The sequence below is a fragment of the Homo sapiens genome, chromosome 2, assembly GCF_000001405.40.
Source record: "Homo sapiens chromosome 2, GRCh38.p14 Primary Assembly".
Taxonomy (NCBI): Eukaryota; Metazoa; Chordata; class Mammalia; order Primates; family Hominidae; genus Homo; species Homo sapiens.
Genome location: NC_000002.12, coordinates 70,852,899 through 70,877,605, shown reverse-complemented (window position 1 = coordinate 70,877,605; position 24,707 = coordinate 70,852,899). Strand labels below are relative to the sequence as shown.

The following is a 24,707-nucleotide window of genomic DNA, read 5'->3' as shown; positions in this document are numbered from 1 at the left end:
CAACCTTGGTGAATCTGACAATTATGTGTCTTGGGGTTGCTCTTCTTGAGGAGTATCTTTTTGGTGTTCTGTGTATTTCCTGAATTTGAATGTTGGTCTGCCTTGCTAAGTTGGGGATGTTCTCCTGGATAATATCCTGAAGAGTGTTTTCCAACTTGGTTCCATTCTCCTCATCACTTTCAGGTACACCAATCAAATGTAGATTTGGTCTTTTCACATAGACCCATATTTCTTGGAGGCTTTGTTTGTTTCTTTTTACCTTTTTACTCTAAACTTCTCTTCTTGCTTTATTTAATTAATTTGATCTTCAATCACTGATATCCTTTCTTCCACTTGATTGAATCAGCTATTGAAACTTGTGCATGCATCACAAAGTTCTTGTGCCATGGTTTTCAGCTCCATCAGGCTATTATGGTCTTCTCTACACTGTTTATTCTAGTTAGCCATTCGTCTAATCTTTTTTCAAGGTTTTTAGCTTCCTTGCAATGGGTTCGAACATCCTCCTTTATCTCGGAGAAGTTTGTTATTACAGACCTTCTGAAGCCTACTTCTGTCAACTTGTCAAAGTCATTCTCCATCCAGCTTTGCCTCTGTTGCTGGCAAGGAACTGCAATTCTTTAGAGGAGAAGAGGCACTCTGATTTTTAGAATTTTCAGCTTTTCTGCTCTGGTTTCTCCCCATCTTTGTTGTTTTATCTACCTTTGGTCTTTGATGTTGGTGACCTAGAGATGGGGTTTTGGTGTAGATGACCTTTTTGTTGATGTTGATGCTATTCCTTTCTGTTTGTTAGTTTTCCTTCTAGCAGTCAGGTCCCTCAGCTGCAGGTCTGTTGGAGTTTGCTGGAGTTCCACTGCAGACCCTGTTTGCCTGGGTATCACCAGCGGAGGCTCCAGAACAGTGAATATTGCAGAACAGCAAATATTGCTGCCTGATCCTTCCTCTGGAAGCTTTGTCCTAGAGAGGCAGCTGCCTATATGAGGTGCGTGTTGGTCCCTACTGCGAGGTGTCTCCCAGTTAGGCTACACGGGGGTCAGGGACCCACTTGAGGAGGCAGTCTGTCCATTCTCAGAGTTCAAGCGCCGTGCTGGGAGAACTACTGCTCTCTTCAGAGCTGTCAGACAGGGACATTTAAGTCTGCAGAAGTTGTCTGCTGCCTTTTGTTCAGCTATGCCCTGTCCATGCAGGTGGGGTCTAGAAGCAGTAGGCCTTGTCGAGCTGCAGTGGTCTCCACCAAGTTTGAGCTTCCTGACCGCTTTGTTCACCTACTCAAGCCTCAGCAATGGTGCATGCACCTCCCCCAGCCAGGCTGCCACCTCGCAGATGGATCTCAGACTGCACGCTAGCAGTGAGCAAGACTCCGTGGGCATGGGATCTGCCAAGCCAGGCACGGGAGAGAATCACCTCATCTGCCAGTTGCTAAGACCTTGGGAAAAGCACAGTATTTGGGTGAGAGTGTCCCGTTTTTCCAGGTAGTTTGTCATGGCTTCCCTTGGCTAGGAAAGGGAAATCCCCCGACCCCTCGCGCTTCCTGGGTGAGCCGCCCTGCTTCAGCTCGCCCTCCGAGTGCTATACCCACTGTCCAACCAGTCCCAATGAGATGTACCAGGTACCTCACTTGGAAATGCAGAAATCACCCATCTTCTGTGTCGATCATGCTGGGAGCTACAGACTGTAGCTCTTCCTATTCGGCCATTTTTTTTTTTTTTTTTTGATGGAGTCTTGCTCTGTCACCCAGACTGGAGTGCAGTGGTGCAATCTCAGCTCACTGCAACCTCTGCCACTTGGGTTCAAGCAATTCTCTCACCTCAGCCTCCCAAGTAGCTGGGACTACAGGTGTGCAACACTACACCCAGCTAATTTATGTATTTCAGTAGCGACGGGGTTTCACCATGTTGGCCAGGCTGATCTTGAACTCCTGACCTCAAGTGATCTGCCTGCCTTGACCTCCCAAAGTGCTGGGATTACAGGCACGAGCCACCACGCCTGGCCCCATGTTATATTTTTAAAGATCCATCTCTGTTGCTTCAGATGGCTGTATAACTCTCCATGGTGTGCAACCACTTCATTTTACTTCTCTGCTCTCCCAAGATTAGATATCTAGGTGGTTCCAATAACTCCCCTGCCTCCTCAAATAATGCCATAACAGGCTGGGCATGGTGGCCCATGCCTGTAATCCCAGTACTTTGGGAGGCCGAAGCAGGTGAATCACCTGAGTTCAGGAGTTTGAGACCAGCCTGGGCAACATGGTGAAACCCCATCTCTACAAAAAATACAAAAATTAGCCAGGTGTGGTGGTATGTGCCTGTAGTCCTGGCTACTCAGGAGGCAGAGGCAGGAGAATCACTTGAGCCCAGGAGGTGGAGCTTGCAGTGAGCCAAGATGGTGCCATTGCACTCCAGCCTGGGCGACAGAGCAAAACCCTGTTCAAAAAAAAAAAGCCACAACAAACTTCCTTGTACAGGTTTCCCTAAGCATCTGTGGGAAAATATCTTTGGGATCTATACCAGGAGTAGAGTTTCTGGGTCACTAGAAACATCTAACTTGCCTAAATATTGTCAGCTTGCTGTCCAGAATGGCTGCTCCAGTCTACACTCACCAATGTGCACGTAGTTTTGTGTATCCACACATCCCCTCCACTGTCAACTTGGTATTTTCCCACTCTTGAGTTTTTGCCAGTCAGCTAGGCATCAAGGGATATTTTGTTGCTCTAATTTCCACATCTCTGGAAATTACCAATGATCTTGAGCATCCACCCAAATGCTTATTGGCCCTTGGCTTTTCCAGGTCTATGCATTTAGCTGCATGTAGTCCTCTATTTTCTTAAAACCTATAAGGGCTCTGACTGTTCGTATTGTTTTCCAACCCTCCCAACCTCCAGCCCTTTAAACGTCTTGGAAAGCTTTTTATCAGCTGCATGGAAGTGCATAGCTTGAGTGACCCATAAAGTATTAAGCCATTTCCCTATTAATAGGCATCTGGAGTCTTCAGAGGTTTTTCACTACCACAAACGAATTCTCCCATAACCCTCCTTAAACATACATCTTTGCACTTGTGCCAGAATTTCTTCAGATAAATTTTTAGAAGTGGTGTTTTTAGTTTAGCATGCGTGTTTGAGGACGCCATATTTAGCCATATGTAAGAGTGTCATCAAGTCTGTGGTGGAGACCAGGGACTCAGTCAGAGACCACAGTTTGGGAGGAAAATAGGTATCACTGAGAAGTGTTCCTGATTTGAGAAATAGGAAGAGACATTGAAGCTGGAGTTAGGTAATAAGGACAGTTGCCAGGAGACAATGCTGAGCACAGGTGGGTAGTCAGCCATGTTGGCTGGGACGTGCCAGGCAGTGGAAAGGGAGGACACAGGTTTCCTGAAACTGCTCTGTAGACACCATCAGGCCCAGAAGCAGCTGCTCTGGAAGGAGCAACAAGGGAATTGTGGGTCCACTGACAGGAGTAAGCAGTATTTTTTCACAGGAACATTGACCACCACCTTCCCCTGATGGCCCCAGAGAGCAAGGGTGGACAAGTGGACACCTGCCTGGTCGCAGTCTTCTTTACAGTCTGAGATCTTACTTCCTATGGAAGCGCGAGGATGTAAGTTTCTGCCATATACAGTTGGGCACGTTGTGCATTGCATAAGGTTACCTGGCTCAGAAGGTAAATGGGGACTGAAAAAATTACCCTGAGCTAATTCTTACAGATTTTTTTCCCTGTCTCTGGGCCATGAGGGAGAAGACAGTGCTAGGGCTCCCTGGCCTCAGGTCAGCTGCACAGAACTATCCAGGGGACGGTTCCCAGGATCGCTCTCTCACCAGCTATCTCCTACCGAAGAGGACATGTCTCTCTTTCCAGCACTCCCTCAGGGAGGCAGCCCACACTCCCTGGGGAGACTCCATCCTGTTCCCCTTTGGCCGAGCCTATGTGGGGCTGTGCAGTGAGAAGAAAAGTAACATTTTCTTTGGGTGCAGGCTGGGGCAACTGGGCTGAGCTTCAAACTTGTTTTCTTTGAGGAAGAATTGAGGACTAATTATATGCACCAACTGCTGGCTGTTAAAGAAGGAGACAGAAGGCCATATGAGGTGGCTCATGCCTATAATCCCAGTGCTTTGACCGACCAAGGCAGGAGGATGGCTTGAGGCCAGGAGTTTGAGAACAGCCTGGGCAACACAGTGAAACCCCATCTGCACAAAAAACTTAAAAAAATTAGCAGGTGTGGTGATGTGCATCTGTAGTCCCAGCTACTTGAGAGGCTTAGGTGGGAGGATCACTTGAGCCTAGGAGTTTGAGGCTCCAGTGAGCTATGATTGTGCCACTGCACTCCACCCTAGGTGGCAGAGAGAGAGACCTTGTCTCTAAGAAATAAAAAAGAAGCCAGAAAGAGATGGGGGGGTCTTATTTCTTTTTTAGGAATCCCCAACCTCAGTCACAGAAACAAGCACCTACAGAGACAGAGACACAGAAGTTCATGGAGACCCAGGCCCTGGGCAGGCACTCTCAGGTGGCCCAAACCCCCAAGGTGGGTGAGGACCACTGTGGGCTTGGGGAGGGAACAGCCCTTCCTTTCACACAGCAAGAGAAGTTTGGGCTACCCAGGTGCCGAGACCAGCTCGTCTGGGGAGACCCTAACCCAGTGGCTCTAGAGGAATTAAAGACACACACACACACAGAAATATAGAGGTGTGAAGTGGGAAATCAGGGGTCTCACAGCCTTCAGAGCTGAGAGCCCCAAACAGAGATTTACCCACATATTTATTAACAGCAAGCCAGTCATTAGCATTGTTTCTATAGGATATTAAATTAACTAAAAGTATCCCTTATGGGAAACAAAGGGATGGGCCGAATTAAAGGATAGGTTGGGCTAGTTAACTGCAGCAGTTATTGCTCATGCTATTGTTTGTGGCTTAAGAATGCCTTTAAGCGGTTTTCTGCCTTGGGTGGGTCAGGTGTTCCTTGCCCTCATTCCAGTAAACCCACAACCTTCCAGTGTGGGCATTATGGCCATGATGAACATGTCACAGTGCTGCAGAGATTTTGTTTATGGCCAGTTTTGGGGCCAGTTTATGGCCAGATTTGGGGGGTCTTGTTCCCAACACCAGGGGGCTCCAAGGGGCTGGAGTTTGAGGAGATCTGGACAGGGTCTGAGGTCAGCCAGGGGCTGTGTAGCGCCCAGTGTAGAGCTGTGGCAACCTCATTCCCACTCAGCTTGGCTTCACAACAGCTCACGGAGCAGTTACTTTGATGAGGGACGGGGCTGGGCACTGTAATCCCAAAATGCCTGACAGGTATTTTGAGATTGGAGACACCCCCCTGCCCCACCCTCCTTTTCCTGAGGACCAGGCAGCTCAGGCATCTGGGAACTTTTTCATGCCATGTGACCCAGAAATTCCACTCCTGGATATAGATCCCAAACATAATCTCCCACAAGTGCTAAGGAAACCTGTACAAGGAGAGATACACAGTTGGGCAATTATGACGCAATAAGAAAAGTGCTGATGAAGGTGAATATTAAGCACTTACCGGTGTGCCTATGAGCTCCCTAACGACCCAGTGAGGTGGGCCGTATTACCCCATGTAATAGATGGGGAAGCTGAGGCTCAGACAGGTCAGGTAACTTTCCCAACGCCACACAGTAAACGGTGGAGTGGAAACATCCTTTCAGCCTCATGGCAGAGCCTGTGCCCCCATCACTGCACCACACGGCCCTTGGTACCACACTGATGGAGGAAGGCGGCGGTAACGACAGTGTCCTGGGTGTCAGGGACCGGGACGTGCCCCTGGCGTACGCACTAATACCACGCCCCAGTCTTCAGGCTAATTTCACACTGACAGGGCTCTCCTACCCTGGCCGCCGCCAGTCGGTGCCCGCCCGCCTCCAGTAGTGCTGCAGCTGTCCTGCCGGCCACCTCCAGGGAAGCGGCCTTGTGCTGCCCTCTGCTGGTCGCAAACTTACAGCACCGAGGGGTTTCGCTCTTCGCCGACTTCCTTGCGCAGGCACCCCGGGTGGTGGGCTATGGCTCCCTAGGGTCCAGAAATGGGTGGATGGGGGTGGGAAAAGGAGGGAGAGTGGGGGATGTCTCCAACGAGGCCAGGCCCGGGAAGCTGGCCGCGTGTCTAATTTCTCTGGTTACACCTGTTCGTGCCCAGTGCAGCAGTCCACGCTCCCTAATCCTGGTCCATAAGGGAAGGGGCAGGACGGACAGCCCCATTAGGATGGGAAACCCAAGAGGAGTCCTTTATGCTCCCGGAATACTCCCTGAGTACTGGGGGTACAATGATAATGAAAACATCCACCTTGCTGTAGTGAACAACGGCAGCTCCCACCCCAGGGTACCCCTGTGGCCAGACGTCAGTCACTGTCCTCTTCCTCTTAGTGACTAGAGGCCATTTTGAGTGTCTGTAGGGGAGATAGACATAGGAAGATTATACGGGTGATGCATTCGAAAATAACTGTGGCTGTAAAGGGCGAGCCTGGCACCAGGAGGATCAGGAGCCAGGGAGAGCTTGCACTTGAGCAAGGCTTGGTATAATCCACAGGAGTTGGGCTTTCTCTAGGAGGAGGCCCTGGGAACAGAAGAGTCGGAGAACAGCTCAACTCTGTGTATCTGCATCTGCTCTGTTCCAGGATGCACGCCCCCTTTTCCTCAGCTTCCAATCCTACATCTTGGCAGGCTGCCAGAGATTAGGCCCTTGGAGATATGGGGTGATATTTCTTCTTTGTTGTTTGCCATTGTAAGAGGACAATCATTAGCTTTACCTGAACAGATAAAACATGACAACAGGAATATCAAATATGTTGGGGAAGGAGGTCCCTAATGCTCAGGAGGATGACAGTTCCTTCCCAATCCACTCTCTGTCCCATGTGAAGGGCATCCCCAGCCAACTCTTCTCCAGAAGCACAGTCCCAGAGTGGGAGGTGAGAGGGAGCTGCTCTCATCCTGCTATGATCTGAATGTTTATGTCCCCCCACAGTAATGTGTTGAATCCTAATCACCAATGTGATGGTATTAGGAGTTGGGAACTTTGGGAGGTGATTAGGTCATAAGCATACAGCTGTCATGAATGGGATTAGTGTTCTTATCAAAAGGACTCCAAGGGCCAGGAATGGTGGCTCACACCTGTAATCCCAGCACTTTGGGAGGCCGAGGCTGGTGCATTGGCGGAGCTCTGGAGTTAGAGACCAGCCTGGGCAACATGGCAAAACCTTGTCTCTACAAAAAATACAAAGATATCTGGGTATGGTGGTGCATGCCTGTAGTCCCAGCTGCTTGGGAGGTTGAAGTGGGAGGATCGCTTGAGCCTGGGAGGTTGAGGTGGCTGCAGTGAGCCATGTTCATACCACTGCACTCCAACCTGTATGCCAAAGTGAAACCCTGTCTCAAAAATAAATTAATTAATTAATTAATTAAATTTTAAAAAATCAAGAGCTATAAAACAATGGAACAGCTTCATTCCCTACTCCAGTCCCCAGTCACCCAGGTACCCTCCTCAAAGGCACTCAATAGTGTTAGTTTCTTGTGTAACCTTCCAGGGGCGTCCTGTGTATGCACAAACAAATGCACACACAGCCACATAGGCCACCCTCTTTACGCACACAGCAGTTCACTTAAATTGCTTAAGAGAGGGTTCCATGTACGTGGAGATCTTCCTGGAGCTTACTGGAGAAATACCAGCATCATTCCCGCTGAAGCCAAGAGCAAAATCCTGTGATTTCTGAAATGTAGCTGGAACTACTCCCTGGAGCAACCCTGTCATTTAAAAGCTGCAAAGAAGTGGAGGTGGCAGTTTAACTTTGGGCAGGCTATTATTTTAATTGTGGCTTGCCCTGCCCTAACCTTTTTGCTTTAGGATACCCATTGGGTGCTCCCTCAGCCTGTGAAAATGGCCCAGAAGGTTTGGGCAGGTACCCATGGGGTACTGCCTTAAGTCCATTCAGACTGTTGTAACAAAAATACCATGAACTATGGGGCCAAGCGTGGTGGCTCACGCCTGTAATCCCAGCACTTTGGGAGGCCGAGGTGGGCAGATCACTTGAGGTCAGGAGTTTGAGACCAGCCTGGCCAACAGAGATGGCAAACCCCATCTCTACTAAAAATACAAAAAAAAAAAAAAAAAAATTAGCTGGGCGTGGTGGCACGTGTCTGTAATCCCAGCTACTAGGGAGGCTGAGGCAGGGGGATTGTTTGAACCTGGGAGGCAGAGGTTGTAGTGAGCCGAGATCATGTCATTGCACTCCAGCCTGGGAGACAGACAGAGACTCCATTTCAAAAAACAAAACAAAACAAACAAAAACACAAACCCATGAACTGGGTAATTTATAAACAGTAGAAATTCATTGCTCACAGTTTTGGAGGTTGGGAAGTCTGAGATCAAGGTGCTGGCAGATTCTGTCTGGTGAGGGTTTGCTCTGCTTCAAATATGGCCCCTTTTGCTGAGTCATCACATGGTGGAGGGGCCAGGGAGCTCCCTTCAACTTCTTTTCTAAGGGCTCTAGTCCCATCCATGAGGGTGCAGCACTTATGACTCAACCATGTCCCCAAAGGCCCTGCCTCTTCATACCACCCCAGTGTCCACGTAGGTTAACACAAATGAATTCTGGAGGGACACATTCAGATTATAGAAGGTATGATCAGGGCAGAACATAGACCCTGCTGGGGTATGTGAGGGTGACTCTTTTGAAAATTATAATTTTATATCCAGGCAGATTGTCACTCAGATATGAGGGCATACTAAACATTTTTCTCAATATATACTGTAGGATGACCTACGCTGAAAACGCTTTTGGAGAAAGAACTAAAAAAAGATGAGACAGAAAACCTAGCTATATGTCTTTTTAAACAGACACATTTAAGATGTAAAGATACGGACAAACTGAATGTGAAGAAAGGGAAAAAGATACATTGGACAAACAAACAAAAAAGCAAGCATGGCCATATTAATATCATTCTCATGACAAAATATTCACTAAGCAGATAAAACAGGTTTTTTTTGTTTTTGTTTTTCTTGAGATAGGGTCTCTCTCTGTCCCTCAGGCTGGAGTGCAATGGCACAAAGATGGCTCACTGCAGCCTTGAACTCTTGGGCTCAAGTGATCCTCCCACCACAGCCTCCTGAGTAGCTGGGACTGTGTGCACCACCACACCCACCAATGTTTTTTTTATTATTTTTTGTAGAGATGGGTTCTCCTCTGTTGCCCAGGCTGGTGTCAAACTCCTGGGCTGAAGTGATTCTCCCACCTCAGCCTCCCAAAGTGCTAGGATTGCAGGCATGAGCCACCACACCCGGCAACAGTTCTAAACATGTATGCAATTAACATGGTTTTTTTTTTTCTTTTGAGACAGAGTCTCACTCTGTCGCCCAGGCTGGAGTGCAGTGGTGCAGTGGCGCAATCTCGGCTTACTGCAAGCTCCGCCTCCTGGGTTCAAGCCATTCTCCTGCCTCAGCCTCCTGAGTAGCTGGGACTACAGGCACCCGCCACCACGCCCGGCTAATTTTTTGTATTTTTAGTAGAGACAGGGTTTCACCATGTTAGCCAGGATGGTCTCAATCTCCTGACCTCGTGATCCGCCTGCCTCGGCCTCCCAAAGTGCTGGGAGCAATTAACATGGTTTCTAATGATAACATAAAAACGAACGAATTATAGGGAGAAATGTACACATTTACTATCCTAGTGAGGGATTTCAAAACACTTCTAGATTATTGATAGGCCAAACAGATAAAAAAAAAATCCCTGTGGCAGATCTAAAATCACAATCAGATCCCAAACTTTTTGTAAGTCTGGAAGAATAGTTTCTAGCCTTCCATCTGCTGTGATTTAGGGAAGAACATAACAGTAATGGAAATGGATGCGGCAAACCAATAAATAACAGTTGGTATATCAGTATTCAGTAATCATATTGCTATGAATATGTAAACATTATTCACAGCTGAATCACAATTATATTTTCCTTTCCTATACTACTTTAAAAAATTAATAATTATTTTTTCTTTTCATTTGGTTAGTTTTCTATATGCTTTGAAATAATTCAACCTCAGACTCTGCCAACTCTCTACAACTCCTCTCAATTTCTTCAGAAAAATCTATCAATTTTCATTGCCTTGAATATCTTTCTCCTGGGCCGGTTAGATTTCCCAGAGAAGGCTCTTCCAGTCTCCTGCTTGCAGAGGAAGACCAGGTGTCTTAGGGGCTGGGGATGGGATTGAGGGTCTCAACATTTGGTAAACAAACTCAACTTTCCTTGCTTCCCTTAGCCACATGTGAAAAAAGTTGGAATTTTCATAAAAGATTTTTACCAAAGACTGAAGGAGAACAATATTTAATAGCAATAAAAGACAAAAAAAAAAAAGAGCGAAGAAGAATAAATATTCTATATTCTATAAATGTAGCCAAGCTATAAGGGTCAGGCTTTCTTTTTAAATTTTTATTCTGAGACAGGGTCTCACTCTATTGCCAGGCTAGAATGTAGTGGCACTATCATAGCTCACTGCAGTCTTGAACTCCTGGGCTAAAACAATCCTCCTGCCTCAGCCTTCTGAGTAGCTTGGACTATTGGATCATGCTATCATGCCTGGCAAATTAAAATTTTGTTGTTGTTGTTGTAGAGACAGGGTCTTGTAATGTTGCCCAGACTGGTTTTGAACTCTAGGCCTCAAGCGATCCTCCTGCCTCTGCCTCCCAAAGTGTTAGTATGACAGGTGTGAGCCACTTCACCTAGCCAGGGTCAGGCTTCTGAGCCTACCAGAGCTGACTCCTCTTTAAGATCCAGGGGCTCTTTACTGTTTCAAAACCTCCTTCTGGGATCACCATACTCCAGAACAGAATTGACTGGATAAAGTGGATTCATAATCCATAATTTCTGACTGGTTGGCTGCAGCTGCCTGGTTCACTGTGTGAGGGTGACTCTTTTATTTTAGTCTTTTATTATGCATTTTAGAAGCAAGTACAAAAGTAGAGGGAATAATATAACTCCCCCACCATATACCTATTACCCAGATTCCACAATTGACCTTATTTTATCTATATCCCTATTCTTCTCCCTGAAGTTATTTTATTATCTGTAAATACTTCCGTATGTATTTCTAAGAAGTAAGAACTCTTTTTTAAAAAGTGTAATAATTAGTCGGGCATGGTGGCTCATGCCTATAATCCCAGCACTTTGAGAGGCAGATGTGGGAGGATTACTTGAGCCCAGGAGTTCAAGACCAGCCTGGGCAACACAGCGAAACCCCATTTCGACAAAAAAAATAAAGAAATTAACTGGGTGTGATAGTGCACACCTGTAGTCCCAGCTACTTGGGAAGCTGAGGTGGGAGGATCACTTAGCCTGGGAGGTCAAGGCTGCAGTGAGTGAGCCATGATCGAGCCACTGCACTCCAGCCTGGGTGACAGAGTGAGACCCTGTCTCAAAAACAAACAAACAAGCAAACAAAAAACACAGTAATTATACCTACAGATTAGTACTAATAGCCAGTCATTGTTCACATTTGCTCTTTTGTCTCACATGTGTTTTCTTTAACAGGTACCTTGTTTCAATCAGCATCCAAACAAATGCCATACATTGTGTTTGTTTGATACATCTTTAAGGCTTTTAAAATCTGTGACCATTCATCTTACTCTTTATGTATGAGTGTGTGTGTGTGTGTGTGTGTGTGTGTGTGTGTAACTAGAGCCGTTGTCCTTAGCATTTCTCATTCTTTGGACTTACTCACCATGTTGCAGTATCCTCTGTACTTCCTTTAATCTGGCAATTAGATTTAGAGGCCTGATCAAATTGAGGTTTGGATCTGAACTCAGGTGGTTTTTTTTTTTTTTTTTTGAGACAGACGCCCAGGCTGGAGTGCAATGGCGCGATCTCGGCTCACTGCAACCTCCGCCTCCCAGGTTTCAAGCGATCCTCCTGCCTCAGCCTCCTGAGTAGCTGGGATTACAGGCACCGCCATCACGCCCTGGGCAGATCACCTGAGGTTAGGAGTTCAAGACCAGCCTGGCCAGCATGGTGAAACCCTGTCTCTACAAAAATACAAAGGGTTTGTTTGTTTGTTTTAATAGAACCTCATGAATAGTGCTGGGTACCAGGAGACTTGCTGCCGGGGTGTCCTTTTGTGCTGGAGGGCTTCTGTCCTGACTATAATGAGCACTTCTGGACAAGGCAGCAAAGGAAGAGGGCCCCTTTTTCTCAGGAGCCTTTCTGAGAATCCTGCACCTGCAGCAGCCCAGTGACTCCTGACCCCCTGGTCTCTTTTTGGTGGGTTCATAAGCAACACTGGTCTAGAAGTCTGAGGGCTTGAGTCAAAGTTCTGACCTCACTAGACAACCTCAGGAAAAGTCAGCTAACTTCTTGGGGTCAGGCTGGCTCCATTTTACATTAGCTAACTGAACCAATAAAGAGTTATTTCAATACATGGTTGAGTATAGCATTATAGCTAGGACTGGACTCTGCACCTGGGCTGCCTGTGTTGGAACACCAGACTTGCTGCTTAATAGCTTTGTGACTCTGAATAAGTTACCTAATGTATCTGTACCCCAGTTTCCACATCTAAAAAAAATGGGCCTCCTGTGAAGTCACCACCTTACAGGGCTGTTGTGAAAATGAAATGAGTTAGTGCAGGGAAGATGCTGAGGACTGTCCCTAACTCATGCTGGGTGCTCACAATGTGTTTGTTGCTGTGAAGTGACAGGTACTGAGCTAGGTGCAGAGACTATGTGGTGAGCATGCCCGGTGCCTGCTCTCAAGGAACACACACATAGTACAGTGTGACAGGGCTGTGCTGGGGGTGGCCTGGAGAGCTGGGAGAGCCCGAATGGGAATCTCACTTGATTTGGGGGCCAGGGCTATCTGACCAGAGGAATCGGCGTCTAACCTGAGATTTGAAGGAGTCAGTGAGGTGGGCCGGGCAGGGAGAGGGCATTTCCAGCAGAGGGAGCAGCATCTGCAGAGACCTGGGCGCTGTGGCACCTGCAGCCCACAGGAGCGCTTTTGGCCCAGGCAGGCTTGGGACATGAGGAAGGCGGCTGGAAAGTGGGTGGGCAGTTGTTAGACGTTAAGCCAGAAAGGAGGGCAGGGACCACTTACAGAGGGACTGGTGTGTTGCAGAGCGCTGGCTGGGGAGCTGGAGCTTTCTCCCAGTGACGCTGGGAGTGTGTGTGTGTGTGTGTGTGTGTGTGTGTGTGTGTGTGTGTGTTGCAGGTTGTGAGGTGAGCAGCAGGGTTAGATCTGTTTTGAAACAATTCCTCTGGCTGCTGTGTGAGGAGTGGATGGAAGGCAAGGCTGGGGCCTGGACACCTGACCAGGTGCCAGGGAGCAGGAATTGGTGGCTTGACCATGTGGATGGAGAGAAGTAGGTGGATGGAAAGATGTTAAACAGGTAGCATGTGGCTGGGCGCAGTGGCTCATGCCTGTAATCCCAGCACTTTGGGAGGCCAAGATGGGCAGATCACCTGAGGTCAGGAGTTTGAGACCAGCCTGGTCAACATGGTGAAACTGCATCTCTACTAAAAATACAAAAACTAGCCAGGTGTGGTGGTGGGTGCCTGTAATCCCAGTTACGCAGGAGGCTGATGCACAAGAATCGCTTGGACCCAGCAGGCGGAGGTTGCAGTGAGCTGAGATGCCGCCATTGCACTCCAGCCTGGGCAACAGAGGGAGACTCTGTCTCAAAAAAAAAAAAAGAAAGAAAGAATAGAAAAACAAAAACGCAGGTAGCAGCTGGGTGCGGTGGCTCATGGCTATAATCCCAGCACTTTGGGAGGCCAAGGTGGGTGGATCACCTGAGGTCAGGAATTCAAGACCAGCGTGACCAATATGGTGAAACCCCGTTTCTACTAAAAATACAAAAAATTAGCCAGGAGTGGTGGCAGGTGCCTGTAATCCCAGTTACTCAGGAAGCTGAGGCAAGAGAATTGCTTGAACCAAGGAGGTGGAGGTTGCAGTGAGCCGAGATCGTGCCATTGCACTTCAGCTTGGGCGACAAGAGCAAAAACTCTGTCTTGAAAAAACAAAAAGCAAACAAACAGACAAAAAACCCAAACAAACAAACAAACAAAAAACCCAGGTAGCATGCATTAAATTAGATTGTGGCGGGGAAGTGGAGGAATTACAGTGGGTTGAATGGCATCCCCTCCAAATTCATGTCCACCCAGAACCTCAGAATGAGACCTTATTTGGAAATAGGATCTTAGCTGATATGATTGAGGTAAAGATAAAGATGAGATCATACTGGCTTAGGATGGGCTCTAAATCCAAGGAGAGCTTTCTTAGAAGAGGATGCATAGAGACAGAAGAGATGGCCATGTGAAGATGGGGGCAGAGGCTGGAATCAGACACGGAGGAGCCAGGGAATGCCTGAAGCTGGAAGAGGTGAGGAAGGATTCTCCCCTGGAGATTTTGGAGGGAGCACAATGCAGCTGACAGTTTTTCAGACTTCTGGCCTTCCGAACGATGAGAGGGTCACTCTCTGTTGTTTTAAGCCGCCTGGTTTGTGATAATTTGTTACAGCAACCGTAGAAAACTAACACAGGAGTCAAGGGTGATACTTGACTGTCTGGCTCGGGAGACTGGAGCACAGAACCAGGGTCAGACTTGTTGGCTGGGGTGGGGATAGGGATGTGGTGGTCAGGTGCTGGGGCCGGGTTCAGGTATGGATTTATTGTTTTTGAAGAGTTCATGTGGCAAGCAAGCAAAGAGGGCCAGTGGTAGCTGGATTCATAAGTCTGGGGGACTGGTTTAGACTGAAAGAGAATTGGGGAGTGAGGTGGGGAGGAAGGAGATTGTCCAGGGAGAATCTGTGTGGAGAGCAGGGAAGAGGAATAAGAACGGACCTATCAGCAAGTCCAGCATCTAGGGGAGAGGTGAGAGAGAAGGAACTCCTGGAGGTTCCAAACAGGAGAAGACCAGGAGTGCGTGAGGCCACAAGTATCCAAGAAATGGGGCCTTGTGAGGGAGTGTGAGTGGGAAAGAATGTCACCAAGAGGTAAAAAAAAATCAACAGATAGGAAAATGCCAGTTGAATTTGTAAACAGGAGGGTCAGTTCACCGTGACTGTGGCAAGAACAGCTTTGGTGGAGTAGGGGAAGCATGGAGTGTCACTGCCACCTGACTCCTGTTTCTCGGCTCTCTTTGTAACAAGAACCCCCGGCATTCCTAGAGGTTCCGGACTCTCAGGACTGAACCTGTCAGGGCTTGGCATATTTAATAGTCACCAGCTGGTGGGATCGAGGCCATTGCTACCCTGGCTACATCCGGAAGACGAAGACTGATTACTCATGTGTGCTCATTGGGGACAAGGCAAGCAATTTTCTGCCTTCCATGAAGCCAGCACCTGGCGCTTGGTTCAAAGAATTCAGCAAATTTATACCTTTACTGAAATCTCAGGGGTCCTGGCCTAGGGAGTGAAATGTAGGAATGAGATGACTAATATTACTACTACATTCATTGAGGGGGTCGGGGATTCCTGGAAGGCCAGGATTCCATTATAACTATCATTCAGTCCAACAAATACCTAAGGAGGACCAGATTCACACGCATAGTGAAAACAGAACTCCAAGCGGCAGGAGCCCTTCTGTGCCCAGGCAGAGGCAATGGCGCCATCTACAGGTCACTGAGGGAGAGAGCGCCGGCGGAATTGTAATGCCAGGGAGCCGCTTCGGCAGGGATCTCAGGAATCCCGCACTCTTGTGGACTCTGGCGTTCTCGACATGAACTTTTCTTAATGACCAGATGTTTAAAGGGAAGGACAGATCCATATCTGAGCCTGGGTGTGAATTAGGCAGGGAGAAAGATCAAGCTTGTGGATGTCCATGTCCTATAAGAGCAGCGCTAAAGGGAACTTAATTTAAGGACTCTTTCCCAAAATATGACCAAAGGAGTGGTGGGGAGGGGTCTATGCTCGTGAGGGAAGAGGCAGTGGATCGCAGCTTAGGGGTATGTTTAGGGCCGGGGGCAAGCAAAATGCAGTGTGGGAAGTCAAGTCTGTGTGCCTCCGTTGTTGAAAACATTTTTTTTATTATTATTTATTTAAAAATATGTTTGAGGTAGGGTCTCACTAGGTTGCCCAGACTGGACTCGAACTCCTGGGTTCAAGCGATCCTCTCTCTTCAGCCTCCTGAGTAGCTGGGACTACAGGCATGCGCCACCATGCCCGGCTATGTTATTTAATAATACCCAACATTCGCTTATCCAGTGCCGGGCATTCTCACAAGCATTCTAAAACAGGTATTAACTTGTTGACCCTCAAAACAATCCCATAAGTTAGATGATATCTCATCCCCTATTTTATATATAAGGGAACGAGGCAAAGGGTCTGGACACTTGCCCAACGCCACGCAGTACTGGGAAACGAAGACTCCAACTCAGTCAGTCTGGTTTCAGAGCCCAGGTCTTCACCCCTGCACTTTCCTGCTTCTCTAGCATCTGCTACTAACATCTGCTCCACATCTTCTAAAATATATTCTATGTTATCTGCCTTTTAAAATGGAGCGTCAGGAACATAAACATTTATAGATGGGTTTGATTAACATGCTGATCGCCTGTGACTGCACTAATACCGGACTGAGTTCAGGAGCCACTGATGGCCTCAGCTACCAGGCTTTCTTGGGGTTCTTCAGTCTACTTTTCCCCATGGAGGAAGGAAAGCTATGGAAACCTCTTAAGCAGGGAAGAGACGTGGTTTGATTTCAATTTTAGAAACTGATTTAGATTTTCTTCAAAGGTAATGGACATAAAGACCTGGCAATGACCACAAAGCCAGAACCCTTATAGGTGTGATCTCCTGGCTTGGCCTCTGGGACTGGTTTAGGAGGAGGATTTGCAAGTAAGGAGGAGAGCGGCATGGAGGATCAAGGTGAGCTGAGATCAGGTATCTTCTCTCCTTGTCTCTGTCCCAGTCTCCAGAGGTGACTGTGTCCTGCCATAGTGCTCCACAAAGCGGTGCCACCTGGACAGTGAGCTTTATCCCTGCTCCATGCTGCTCCACTGGAAGAAGCACTGGGCGAGAAGTCAGTGGGGCTGGAAGACCCCAGTAACATCCCGCCCAGTGGAGATGCCACACTCCCCCTGTGGCATCTGCCTTTTCTGCTCCTGGGAGGATGTGCTGTGCCTTGCTCATAGGCAGGGCTGGCTGAGATGAGCCATGGGTCTTTTCTAGAGTGGACAGCTTCCTTCTTGTAGTGGTCCATTTTTCATTGCTATAAAGGAATACCTGAGACTGGGTAATTTATAAAGAAAAGAGGCATATAGTTCTGCAGGTTATACGAGCATCTGCTCAGCTTCTGATGAAGCCTCAGGAAGCTTTTACTCATGGTGGAAGGTGGAGGGGGAGCAGGCATGTCATGTGGCAAGAGAGGGAGCAGGAGAAATGCCAGTCTCTTTTCTTAAAAAGTATTTTTAAATTTCAATAGCTTTGGGAGTACAACTGGTTTTTGGTTACAAGGATGAATTGTATAGTGGTGAAGGCTGAGATTTTAGTGCACCTGTCACTCTTCACTCTCTCTCTTTCCTGCCACCTTGTGAAGAAGGCACTTGCTTCTCCTTTGCCTTCCACCAAGATTGTAAGTTTCCTGAGGCTTCCCCAGCCATGTAGAACTGTAAGTCAATTAAACCTCTTTCCTTTATAAATTACCCAGTAACCACAAAGCAAAAACCTGTAATAGATACACTAAAAATAAAAAGCAAGGAATTAAAAACATACTACCAGACATATCACTTAACCACGAAGGAAGAGAGCAAGAAAGGAAGAAAGAAAAAGAAGACTTACAAAATAACCAGAAAGCAAGTAACAAAAATGCCAGTAGTAAGTCCTTACCTATCAAAATAACATTGAATATAAATGGACTAAATCCCCAATTAAAAGACATAAATGGCTGCATGCTTTAAAAAAATAAGACCCAACTATGTGCTGCCTACAAGAAACTCACTTCACCTATAAGGGAACATACAGACTGGAAATGAAGAGTTAGAAAAAGATATTTTATACAAATGGAAGCAAAAAAAGGGGCAAGAGTAACTATACTCATATCAGATAAAATAGGCTTTAAGTCAAAAAGTGTAAAGAAAAACAAAGAAGGTCATTATATAATGATAAAGGAGTCAATTCAGCAAGAGGTTATAAAGGAGTCAATTTAGCAAGAGGGTATAATAATTGTAACTATGCATTCCAATATCAGAGCACCCAAATGTATAAAGAAAATATTAATTGATTTAAAGGGAAATATAGACTGCAATATAATATTAGGCAACTTCAACACCCACTTTCAGTAATAGACAGATTATCCAGACAGAAAATAACAAACAAACATCAGAGTTAAACTGCACTCTATACCAAATGGACCTATCTGACTTAATCCATTTTGTGTTACTATAACAGAGGACCTGAGACTGAGTAATTTACACAGAAAAGAAGCTTACTTAGCTCACAGTTGTGTAGGCTGGGAAGTATGAGGAGTATGGCATCAGCATCTGCCTAGCTTCTGGTGAGGGCCATGTGCTAGGTCAAAAGATGGTAGAGAAGGTCAAAGGAGAAATGGACACATGTGAAGAGATAAAGTCTGAGGGGCATCCTGGTGTTATAATAGCCCACTCTCAAGGAAACTAATTCATTTCCCCAAGAACTAATCTAGTCTCACTTATCAAGACATTTATGAGGGATCCACCCTATGACCCACTAAGCTCACCTCCCAACTTTGCCATGTTGGGGATCAAATTTCAACATGAGTTTTGGTGGTGACAAACCATATCCAAACATGGCACTGACATTTATACAACAACCTACCAGCTGCAGAATACACATTCTATTCCTCCACACACGGAACATTCTTCAGGATAGGCCACATGTTATGCCACAAAATAAATCACAAGAAATTCAGAAAATTCAAAATCATATCAAATATATTTTCTGATCACAATGAATAAAACTAGAAATCAATAACAAGAGGAATTTTGGAAACTGTACTAATCATGGAAATTAAACAATATGCTCCTGAATGACCAGTGAGTCAATGAAGAAATCAAGAAGGAATTTTAAAAATTTCTTGAAACAAATTAAAATGGTAACACAACACACCAAAACCTATGAAATAAAAGCAGCACTAAGTGGGAAATTTATAGCAATAAATGCCTACATCAAAAAAGTAGAAAGTGAGGCATCAACTAGAGCCATAAATTGGAGCCACTTTTTTAAAGAAAAGTAGAAAGACTGCAAATAAACACCTAACAGTGCACCTTAACTAGAAAAGCCAGAACAAACCAAAGTCAAAATTTGTAGAGGAAAACAAATAATAAAGATCAGAGCAGAAATAAGTGAAATTAAGACTAAAAACACAATACCCAATGTAATACATCAAGGAAACAAAAAGTTGGTTTTTGGAAAATATGAACAAAATCAACAAAACTTTAGCTAGACTAACAAAGAGAAAACCCAAATAAATAAAATGAGAAATAAAAAATGAGACATTACAACTAATACCTTTGATGTATAAAGGATCATTAGAGGCTATTATAAATATTTATACACCCACCTATTGGAAAACCAAGAAGAAATGAATAAATGCCTGGACATGTACGTCCTACTAAAATTGAACTTGAAGAAATAGTAAATCTTAACAGACCAGTAACAAGTAATGAGATCAAAGCACTAATTAAAAAGTCTCCCATCGATAAAAATCCTAGGACCTGATTGCTTCATTGCTGAATTCTACCAAACATTTAAAGAAGAGCTATATTAATTCTACTCAAACTATTCCAAAAGATTAAAGAGGGGAAACGTCCAAACTCATCCTATGAGGCCAGCATTAGTCAATATCAAAACCAGACACAATAAAAAAGAAAACTACCAGTCAATATCCTGATGAACATAGGAGCAAAAATTCTCAACAAAATTCTAACAAACCCAACAACACATTAGAGAGATCATCTACCATAATCAAGGGAAATTTATTTCAGGGATAAAGCCTGGTTTAACATAAGCAAATCAATAAACATGATACATCACATTAACAGAGTTAAGGACAAAAAGCATATGATCATTTCAATAGATGCTGAAGAAGCATTCTATAAAATTCAATATCCTTTCATGATTAAAAAATTCTCAACAAACTGGGTACAAAAGGAATAAACTTCAAAACAATAAAGGCCATATATGACAAATGTACAGCTAATATCACACTGAATAGGGAAACACCAAAAGCCTTTTCTCTAACATCTGGCACAAGACGAAGATGCCCACTTTCACCACTTTTATTCAACATAGTACTGGAAGTCCTAGTCAGAGCAATTAGTCAAGAAAAAGGGCAACCAAATTGGACAGGAAAAAGTCTAATTATCCTTGTTTGTAGACAAACACGACCTTATATTTATTATTATTTTAAATACACAGTTTATTTTATTTTATGAAGCTCCAGGATACATGTACAGGATGTGCAGGTTTGTTACATAGGTAAACGTGTGCCATGGTGATTTGCTGCACCTATGAACCCATCACCTATGCATTAAGCCCAGCATGCATTAGCTATTTTTCCTGATGCTCTTCCTGCCCTGAGTCCTGCGTACTCTACCCAATGCCCTGTGAATTATAAATTTTCTAGTCTGGCTGATGGAAACAGGCACCATTCTAGGCTTTGCATGGGCAACATTTTTACTTCTAATCCCTTTGAATGGTTCTTTCTCCAGCTTCAGGTGCTTTCCTCACACACATGTGCTGACTGATGCTGAATGCTCCAGATCTCTGGAATTCTGTATCTGAGCAGCTCTCTCCTGTCTGCTCAGATATAGAACTCCAGAGATCTGGATTACATGCTCTGTCCTGTGTACTCTAGCTACTGTGGTATCCCTGGACTCTCAGCTCTGTCTTCTCAACTCAGGGAGTCTGCCTGGTGCCTTCTGTTCTTCCTCTTGGTGCTGTGGCCTGGAAACTCTGCAGGTAGTAAGCTAGGGCAGTCATAGAGCTTACCTCATTTGTTTCCTTTGTTTCAGGGATCACTATTCTTCATTGCCTGATGTCCAGTGTCCTAAAAACCACTGTTTTCTGTATATTGTCTGTTTTATCTTAGGTGTGAGAGTAAACATAATCTCTGTTACTCCATCTTGGCCAGAAACACAAATCTTCATTTGACCATGTTAGTTTTGAACCAGGCCAAGCCAAATTCCCAGATGATTTAAAGATGCCGCTAGAGGAGTCCTAGGGCATCTCAGTAGATTTGCATCCAGCTTCTGTTTTCAGGATTCACTCAATAAATGCATTGATCCTCTCCACACCAGCTGGGTGCGGTTGGTATTATAGGTGAGGGTGACATGTCTGGTTCTGTGGTCCCACAATGGAATCCTCAAGGATATACACCCCTTGGGTGTAACACTGTCAGTAAATAGTCTCTCTGCCTAGTGGGGCATCTTCTTGGTCTTGATTAAGGTCTCTGGCACAGAGGCTTCTGGATAGAGGTACATCCTAGTTTCCATGTCCTTCGTCAAAACATGTTTGTTCCAGTGTTTCAGGCATTGTTATCCAAAGGCAATAAACAGTTGGTCCTAGGAGCTCTGGAGCACTTGCTCTGGAGCACAGAAAATTCTTCAGTATTTTTCTAGTGGGGGAGGGTTCAAAACCTGAGCAGCATCAGGGCTGTGGAGTCCAGGGGACACCAGGAGGCCAGGTTGGGCAACAGTTGGAACACACTTGCTGGGTTCCCAGCTAAGCCACTACTCAGCACCACCCTCACATGAGGGGTGTCAAGTTGCACTAACAGTTTATTTTAAAAGAAAACCACAACCTGAGTCTAATCATAAGGAAGCAATCAGACAAGTCCAGAATTGGGCATTCTACAAGCAATGGACATGAACTCTTTAATATGTTAATATGATGAAAGATAAAAAGAGGGGAGTGTGTGTAAGTGATGGTTGTGGTTATGAGGCTGGCCTAGATTAGTGGAAACTAAGGAGCCGTGACAACCAAATACCATGTGTGAACTTTAATTGGATCCTGGGATCAGGAAATAAACCTAACTTCTTTGGGTAAATATTTTAATTTAAGGGTTTTTGTAAATTTTTTTTTTCTGATACAGGGCCCCTCTCTGTTGCCCAGGTTGAAGTGCAATGGTGTGATCATGGCTTACTGCAACCTCGACCTCCTAAGCTCAAGTGATCCTCCCACCTCAGCCTCCACAGTGTCTGGGACTATAGGCATGCACCACCACAAATTTTTTTAGTTTTTTGTAGAGCTGAGGTTTCACTATGTTGCCCAGGCTGGTCTTAAACTCCTGGACTCAGGTGATGCTCCTGCCTTGGACTCCCAAAGTGCTGGGATTACAGGCATGAGCCACTGTGCCTGGTCTGTAAATTTTTATAACGGCTTTGATATTTTATCCACATTAAATTCCTTGGGTGTGGTAATTGTATTAGGATTATGGGGGGAGAATGTCCTTGTTTGTTTTTAGGTAAGGGCTGAAATATCAAATAACGCTGAAATGCTGCAATTTACTTTCAAGTGGTTCACTAAGAAAAGATATATGTACATGTATGTAAATACATACATACCTACATATATACATTCACAAGTGCAAAGGGCCTGTGAAGAAATGGGCTTGGCATATTTCCAAACATAAAGAAAGCCAGTGAGGAGAGTGGTGAGAGATGGGAATGTGAAGATAGGCTCCAGATCCCAAAGGGTTTTGTTAGATGATCAGGATATTTTTCTTTTCTTTTAAGGGTAATGAGACTCTTTTGAAGCAAAGGACTAGTGGGATCAGGTTTATGTTTTACTCTGCTGTTATTCATCTAATTTCTCCCCACATACCCAGGAAATGTCCTCGGGTCCCTGGAGTTGTTACACTCATGGAAAGGGTTTTTGTTCCTTGTAGGGAGGTAGCTGGTGGCCAAACATGAGGCCTTTGTGGTCCTGGTGGTTCTTGCTCCAGGGAAAGCACCAGAGCTTTCCCTATCAATCACCCACTCCTGAGAAACTGACCATAGGCCACAATCACATAAAGGAGCCATGCCCACATCAGGGAGTTGTGGCATGAGGGCAGCCAGGCCTCTCGTGGCCAGGGAAGAGGAACAGTTCATTTTGGAGTCTACAGACAGAACTTAAAAGCCACAGCAGGTTGTTGGCGGAAGTTGGTGGAAATCGACAGATAAGTTCTCAGAACGGAGACTCCTCTAAGGGGCTGGGGCTCATTCCTTCCATTTTATACTGGGGCCTTTGCATCTTTTCCCTACTCTGGGTCTCCTGGGTAGCATTTAACAGTGTCATACTCCTAGTATCTCTGTCCTTCCATCCCAAACCTATAGGCAAACCCCTCTCTTCTCCTTTCTGGAGAGCAAGGCTGGGGGAAAACCACACACTTGGATAGATCTTGGCCATGGGAGGAAAACAGTGGTGCCCTGGCATTGTCCTTTACAGGCTTACGGGAGCCTATTGTGGGCCTCTCTTCACAACCGTGTTTGGTGACATCGTGCCAAGTTGAAATCAGCTATTGTGGGGATATTTACACAATGATAACTGGCAAAAATTCAAATCAGAGTTTTGTGTCTAAACCTAAGAGGCCAATTTTAAACACCAATGAACAATTGCGTATTCCATTTGTTTAAAATTATTTTCTACTCTTTTACTTTTCATATTGAAGTTTCTCAGGAGTTTTCTTCTGGACTAATGGTCTTAACCTTGAGAACAGGCTTAATGTTAAGAATGGTGCTCATAAAACAGATCTTAGAGACATGAGGAGAAATAGTCCTTCCCACAAAACTACAGGAAAGCAGATCTATTTAAAGCAAGTTCTGAGAAGGAGGTATATTGAGAATAATCACAAAGAGCATCAGTTTTACTCTTTTGCCCAGTGGGGGGACTTGTTGAAGGTGTATAATCCTGTTCTGTTTCATAACAAAGGAGTCTTTTTTTTTTTTTTTTTTTTTTTTTTTTTGAGACAGAGTCTAACTCTGCCTCCCAGGCTGGAATACAGTGGCATGATCTCAGCTCACTGCAACCTCTGCCTCCCAGGTTCAAGTGGTTCTCCTGCCTCAGCCTCCCGATTAGCTGAGATTATAGGTGCCTACCACCATGCCCGGCTAATTTTTGTATTTTTAGTAGAAATGGGGTTTCACAACATTGGTCAGGCTGGTCTTGAACTCCTGACCAGGTGATCTGCCCGCCTCGGCCTCCCAAAGTGAGAGCCACTGCACCTGGCCAGTTACAAAGGAGTCTTTTAAGATGTCTGGACTTCAGAGATTGTTGTTATGTACTGTAAACGGTAACCTTTAACCCTAAAAGTCTGTAATTCTGATTGGTGTGTTTCTCAATAATTTGATTCCTTTATAGCAATATTTACATTTATATATATACACATATATATTTTCTTTTATATATATTTTTATATAAATATAAATATATAAATATATAAATATATATATATATATATATATATATATATTCTTTTCTGCGGTTATAACTTGCAAGGTTTTAAGTGAGCCCAGAAAGGGAGCTTTGGCATTTCCCTTGCCTACCTCCATGTGTGTCTGAGAGCCTTTGACATTTACAGACCACCATGAATAAGCAGTCTCTGAGCTGCCCACCCATTTCTTTGCCTTTAGTGAGTTTCCTCTTCTGTTATCCTTTACTATTGTTCTAAATCTTCACTCCTCTTTTCAGTTCCTCTTTGTAACTCCCACAGAGGATCTTTCTTCCCACTTTATCAAAACAACCAGAGAAGAGTGATGCAAAATAGCTGCAGAGAATCCT

General features: G+C 45.2%; 1 annotated feature.

The window, feature by feature from the left end:
- Positions 12,542-13,041: an enhancer, noted in NCBI's record as "H3K4me1 hESC enhancer chr2:71091695-71092194 (GRCh37/hg19 assembly coordinates)". NCBI's record gives its function as "activates a minimal SCP1, AML or CMV promoter by ChIP-STARR-seq in primed H9 embryonic stem cells {active_cell/tissue: H9 hESC(primed)}" and the evidence as "EXISTENCE:reporter gene assay evidence [ECO:0000049][PMID:30033119]".